This window comes from Homo sapiens, chromosome 10, assembly GCF_000001405.40.
Source record: "Homo sapiens chromosome 10, GRCh38.p14 Primary Assembly".
In the NCBI taxonomy this organism is placed as follows: domain Eukaryota; kingdom Metazoa; phylum Chordata; class Mammalia; order Primates; family Hominidae; genus Homo; species Homo sapiens.
This window is the reverse complement of record NC_000010.11, coordinates 86,928,413-86,935,425: the sequence shown is the minus strand read 5'-3', so window position 1 is coordinate 86,935,425 and position 7,013 is coordinate 86,928,413. Positions and strand designations below refer to the sequence as shown.

At 43.8% G+C, this 7,013-nt stretch overlaps 1 protein-coding gene across 3 annotated transcripts in view; it reads right to left on the bottom strand.

The window, feature by feature from the left end:
• Nucleotides 2,582-7,013, bottom strand: part of BMPR1A (bone morphogenetic protein receptor type 1A) — a 177,082-nt gene continuing 172,650 nt past the window's right edge. The window contains exon 14 of one of the 3 annotated variants that reach the window (NR_176213.1): nt 2,582-5,125. The gene's annotated coding sequence lies outside the window, so the exon portion shown is untranslated. Of the gene's footprint in view, nt 5,126-5,654; nt 6,130-7,013 lie in introns of those variants that run through there. The other 2 variants (NR_176212.1, NR_176211.1) reach the window with 2 other exon arrangements.

The window sequence follows — 7,013 nt, the reverse complement described above, 5'->3', positions numbered from 1 at the left end:
TGTAGAATGATTTCCGTTTATTCTATATAAAACACTTGGAAGTTTCCACACTAGGCAAAGATACTAATACTGGACTAGACAGTACAGCTCATAGCTGCAATTATTCCTGTAATATACCAGCATATGGTTTTCAAAAAAGTTCAGATCCTATAGCAAACTGGCCTGAGAAAACAGTCATCTAGCTATCAGAAACAAGGTTTTTTTTGGTATTAAGTACTCAAAATTTGTTGAATATAGTCTTCTCTATAAGAAAATCAGATTGCTGAGGCAGGAGAATCGGTTGAACCCGGGAGGCGGAGGTTGCAGTGAGCTGAGATGGTGACACTGCACCCCAGCCTGGGAGACAGAGCGAGACTCTGTCTCAAAAAAAAAAAAAAAAAAAAATCAGACTGGACTTCGTAGTGAGTTGCTTGTTGGCGTTAACAAGGTTATCAGCACTTCTCATTGTTTGCTAGGAGTTATTACTTCACTTGTTCCTCAGAATTTATTTAGCACTAAGTTTTGTGCACTCAATGTGCTAAAACATCGGTGTTAAAAGGAACAGTATGCCAGGCCACACTGCTCATGTTTGACCTGGGGTAAATCACAACCTCTCTTGAACTTTGTCTTTAGTGTGAGGTGGTTGATCTTACAGCTCTAATTAGGTATTCTGGCATTCTTTTTTGAGACGGAGTCTTGCTCTGTCACCCACGCTGGAGTGCAGTGGCGCAATCTCAGCTCACTGCAACCTCTGCCTCCCAGGCTCAAGCAATTCTCCTGCCTCAGCCTCTCGAGTAACTGGGATTAGAGGCACCCACCACTATGCCCGCCTAATTTTTGTATTTTTAGTAGAGACAGGGTTTCACCATGTTGGCCAGGCTGGTCTTGAATTCCTGACCTCAAATGATCCTCCCACCTCAGCCTCCCAAAGTGCTGGGATTACAGGTGTGGGCCACCACGCCTGGCCTCTGGCATTTTATTATCTTAACCACAGGTTTAAGTATCACCCACCCCCGGTGCAGCTCTCAGTTACCAAGACCAATTCTGCCCCAAGGCATGAAGCAGACGGCCACGCCAGAACAAAGATTAGAAGCCCAGTAGCAGGTGAGCCTTGCTGCTGCAGACTGTGCTGTGTCTTCTTTCTGCTCAATCATGCAGTGACTGGTCAGGCTCTGCTGTTAACAGTTGAGACATTAGGTAATGCAGTCTTATCCTTTGGAAGTTACTGCCCATAGTAAATGAAGTGAATTGATCCCTTCTGGAAGGGGTACATGTCATCCAACCCTCATACAGTTGGTCCTCTTTGAGAGGAAGATTATACATGAAAGTGCTAACGGGCAAGCTCTGCCAACAGCATGGATGTGTCACTCCAGAAGTTTCTGGGATGAGAACTAGAGAAATGGTTCTTCTGGACAGGGTGTTTTCCATGCAACAAAACATATATGACTGCATTTCACAAAACCTTAACATCAAGTTTAAGGGCAAATTTTCTGTTTAAACGGTCCTAAAATTAGGACCCCCCCCCCAGATTAGCAAGACTTCTGAAGTTCATCTGATAGACTTCCTGTCTCCACCTGGGTGGAGGCTCCTCCTGTCCTGCAAGCAGACCCCCCGTTACCCAGACCAGCGGTCAGCACCCTCACTGTGGCACCCAAAACACCACAATGGACGGAGCACACGGTGGTACCTGCAAACCTGATGTGGAAAAAATATTTTAAAATCCCCAAATTGGTGGCTCATGCCTGTAATCTCAGCACTTTGGGAGGCCGAGGCGGGTGGATCACCTGAGGTCACGAGTTCAAGACCAGCCTGGCCAATGTGATGAAACCCCATCTCTACTAAAAATATAAAAATTAGCCAGGCGTGGTGGCGGGTGCTTGTAATCCCCACTACTCGGGAGGCTGAGGCAGGAGAATCACTTGAACCTGGGATGCAGAAGTTGCAATGAGCTGAGATCGAGCCGTTGCACTCCAGCCTGCGCAACAAGAGTGAATGAAACTCCATCTCAAAAAAAAAAAAAAAAATCTCCAATTGGAAAACAAGAGACGGTACCATAAGTACATCAGGACATTTTAGTAATTCCTGAAAAATAGAAGGGATCAGGTCTGAAATGAAACAGCAACAGGAAATCATGACCCCAAACATGTGAGACTGCTGGGGAGATGGGAGTGATTTGGGCGGAGCCCCAAACTCAAACCCAGCCCTTGAGACATGTTGGGGAGGCAAGGGTTGAAAAACTAACTGTTGGGTACTATGTTCAGTATGTGGGTGATGGCATCAATCATACCACAAACCTTAGCATCACACAACATACCTAGGTAACAGATCTGTACATGTAGCCCCTGAATCTAAAATAAAAGTTGAAAAAAAACAATAACAAAAACCAACCCTAAAACAGTTCAACCATCACCACAAGGAAAAAAATAAACACACTTGGGGTCACTGTGTGCCAGAACTCCAGCCCTGCCGTCAGCCCTGAACCCCAGGTACACAGCAGCTGCTGGGCCTCTGGAAGCAGGGAGCCCCCATACTCTGACAAACATGCCCTTAACAAACCCACAGGGGCCAATCCCAAGTTGTCTGCAGAAACCACAACATAATGTCAAAGTCACTCCTACTGTTAGATTTTATTTCAGAAGCAGTGTGAAGAGGCTACATAGCTCGTGACATGTTGCTTAGAACTCTCCTTTTCTCAGCCTCTGCACCCTGTTATGTCTTTAGCTCAAAAACAGAAAAGCTCTCCCTGCTGTAGCCTGAGCACCACCCTCCTTCCATCCCCTCCATCAAGAAAGCTCCCCAAACCTGGCTTGACAATTACTCAGCTCTCTTGGAGCGGGTAGTGGACGTGGATGAATGCAGTAGGGAAAGCCAGAATCCTTTTGAGAAGGAAAGGGGAAATGAGGCCAGCATGGTGGCTCATGCCTGTAATCATAGCCCTTTGGGAGGCTGAGGCGGGAGGATCGCTTGAGGCCCAAAGTTTGAGGTTGAAGTGAGCTATGACTGTGCCACTGTACTCCAGCCTGGGTGACAGAGTGAGACCCTATCTCAAACAAACAAAAAACCCAACCACACCAAAATAACAATTAGCAAAACTTCAGTAAGGTCTATAGATTATGGTATTGTTGGTCATTGCTATTGTATCAATGTGAACTTTCCTGGTTCTGATAATTGTACATAATTGGTTAAGTAATAGAACATCCCTGAAGTATTTAGGGATAAAGGGGTATTAGCTCTGTAATTTGCTTCTAATAGGTCAGAAAAAAATGTGTGCATACACGATACATGGACATTACAAACATTACAAGATGAGTCTCTGTGATTCCTGTACACACACACACAGAATGACAAAGCAATTGTGCAATGTTAGCAGTTTATGAATCTGGGTGAAGGGTAAATGGCAGTCCTTATACTATTGATGAAACTTTAATGGAAGCCTGGAATCATTTCAAAATAAAACATTTGGCTGTTGAAATAAACTCAGATGGGCTGACAAAAGTAGAAGGTAGGATGAAACATATGAGAAGCATAGTAACAATTATGGAAGAAACATCTAGGGGACCTGAGATTTGTTCTAGAAAGTTCTAGAAAGAGAAAAGGAAAAGAAAGAAAAAAGGGAAGAAACAAAAGAAATAATGGGAGAAAATTTCCCAGGTCTAAGAAAAGATCCCATTAGTACTAAGAAACAGAATGAATATATTTAGATATGGCCAGTTTCAACTTCCAACATCAATAATAAAAAGAAAATTCTATTTCTTGAAAATAAGTTAACCTGTATAACATGTCACTTATTAGATCCACATCAGACTTCTCACTGGTGACAAGGGATGCTAGAAGATCATGGAGTATCATCTTCAGAGTTAGATTCTATCTCCAGCTGAACTCCTAGCCAAGTATGAGGACAGGATCAAGTAATAAAAATTGCTTTTGAAATGTCTTGATTAAAATCCCTCCCACAGCAGTGTAGGTCTTTCAGTGGAGACTTCCAATTTTTTATGTTTTTCAACACTGACCTGCATTTCAGTCATACAGTAGAGCAACAGATGTCATCATCTGGATTCTAAACTGGCTTTTAAAAATGGCTCTTCCATTAAAGAAAAACAAGGGGGCCCAATATTTTCTTCACATTGCTTGAATATATATATATATATGTGTGTGTGTGTGTGTGTATATATATATATATATTTTTTTTTCTTTTTTTTTTTTTGAGAGACGGAGTCTTGCTCTGTTGCCCAGCCTGGAATGCAGTGGTGCGATCTCAGCTCACTGCAACCTCCGCCTCCTGGGTTCAAGTGATTCTCCTGCCTCAGCTTCCCAAGGAGCTGGGACTACAGGCGAGTACCACCACACCCAGCTAATTTTTGTACCTTAGAGACAGGGTTTCACTATATGTTGGCCAGGCTGCTCCTGACCTCAGGTGGTCTGCCCGCCTCAGCCTCCCAGAGTGCTGGGATTAGAGGCATTAGCCACTGCACCCAGCCAAAAATATTTTCAATATAAACATTCCATATTGATTTTCACTTTGAGCTTCCTGCATAATGTTTAGAATGTGAGCCAGGCATGGTGGCATGGTCCCAGCTACTCAGGAGGCTGAGGTGGGAGGATGGCTTGAGATCAGGAGTTTGAGGCTACAGTGCGTTATGATTATGCCTGTGAACAGCCACTGCACACTAGCCTGGGTGACAGTGCAAGACTGTCTCTAAAAAAGACAAAATTAGGATATAAGCACTGAGGTGGATGTAGCGACATTGAGAGATATGGAATTGACTTAGATTTCATTTGAACAAAGACCAAGAAGCTGCTAAGATTCAGAGGAGCAATAGGTTGATGGAATATGTGAATTAACAATTCCTATGTCAAAAGGAGATTATGGGCTGGGCGCAGTGGCTCACGCCTATAATCCCAGCACTCTGGAAGGCCAAGGTGGGCAGATCACCTGAGGTTGGGAGTTCGAGACCAGCCTGGCCCACATGGTAAACCCCGTCTCTACTAAAAATACAAAATTAGCTGAGTGTGGTGGTGCACGCCTGTAATCCCAACTTCTCAGGTGGCTGAGGCAGGAGAATTGCTTTAACCCGGGAGGTGGAGGTTGCAGTGAGCTGGGATCACCCCATTGCGCTCCAGCCTGGGTGACAGAGCGAGACTCCACCTAAAAAAAAAAAGAAAAAAAGATTATGAATGAACCTTTCAGCCCTAGTCCTTGCTCCCTTCCAAAAATATTTTTTGTATGTGCCACTGCACTTGAAATAAGCCGCCATCTGGATCCCAGCATCGAGGTGACTCTCCCACTTCTGCTTATACCAGCACTCACACATTTAAGTCTCCATGCCTGCAGCAGTGCCGCTGATAGTAGGTGGCCTCTGCTCACTGCTGGCCACTTTCAGCGGTTTATGTCCACCCAGTCAAGACTGTATGCTCCAAGCGCTGAGCCAAGGCTGTGTAGGAGCGTGCACCTAACTTGATATAAGGATGACATGTCAGAAATGGTCAATATGCTACTACTATCAGCAAATGTTTCTCCAAGTGAAAACTTAGTAACTGACTTACTGTCTGCTTGAAACTATCTACAAGGATTAAACCTATTTTGGAAGAACAAGGATTAGACAATTCTGTTTCTTAATGTCTGCTCTGTTAATAATATTAAAGAAACCTTGGAATGGAGCAGTGAGACTAACAGATTGCTGGAAAGGAGAAATGAATACATTTATTCAGTGTTTCCACAGACAGAAGGAAAGCTGGCAAGCATTTGCAGTTCCCAGAAATCACTGAGTCTTCTTTACCAGGCTGCATCAGAGCGCCTGCGATTATTCTGAGAAACTTACAATGACACTGAACAGAGACTCCCGTGAGGAATCTGTAAGAGGCTATCTTCAGACACGCATTTCTTTTGAGGAACAATAATCAGTGCCACATCGCGTCTGTGATTTAACATGTTCAGTTCCCTAGGAAAAGGCAGCAGAAGGCACACTGCTGGGATGAATTCACATACACCTGAAAACAGCCCTGACTGGCGGTGGGACTCAGTGCAGGTGGGAAAATGACAAGAAAGTATTGCACAGGAGGAGGAAAGCTATCCAAGGCTTCACTTCCCATTGCAGCAGGAGCATCTTAAGGCCAGGTAAATGCATCCCATCGCTCTAAGCTCATGAACTGCTAGCAGGAATGAAAATGAAAAGCTTTGTGAGTAGCAATATGGCAATGTTTTCCAAGAACCTTAGTTTTTCCATCTTAAAGGATCTTTTAAAAGTTCATATCCACTAGTCTCATTTTCAGAAATGTAATATAAGAAAATAAAGATTTATGTATAAGGATGCTTAATATCTATTTTTCAAAACAATGAAAATAATCCAAATATTCAATAGGGGATTGAGCACAGAAATTACTCCATCTTCTTAGTCAAATATTGTGCAGTCATTAAAAAAAAAGTTCTCAATGGCTATTTAATGGCATACTAGGATCCTAATATTACAAAAAATGCAACATAAAAAAGAATAAGGCCGGGTGCAGTGGCTCACTCCTGTAATCCCAGCACTTTGGGAGGCTGAGGTAGGCAGATCACTTGAGGTCAGGAGTTCGAGACCAGCCTGGGCCAACATGGTGAAACCGCATCTCTACTAAAATACAAAAATTAGCCGGGCGTGGTGGTGCACACCTGTAATCCCGGCTACTTGGGAGGCTGAGGCAGGAGAATCACTTGAACCCAGGGGGCAGAGGTTGCACTGAGCCGAGATCGCGCTACTGCACTCCACCCTGAGTGACAGAGCAAGACTCTCTCAAAAAAAAAGATTGAAAAGAAACACTCAAATGTATATAGTGATAATGTCTGGCAATAGAATTTTGAGTGATTTTTATTTGCTTTATTATTTGCTGTTGTTTCCCAAATTTTCTGCCATGAGTACATTTCCATAATCAGAAAACAATGTTTTGGCCAGGCATGGTGGCTCATGCCTGTAAGCTCAGCACTTTGGGAGGCCAAGGCAAGTGGGCCACCTGAGGTCAGGAGTTCGAGACCAGCCTGGCCAACATGGTGAAACCCT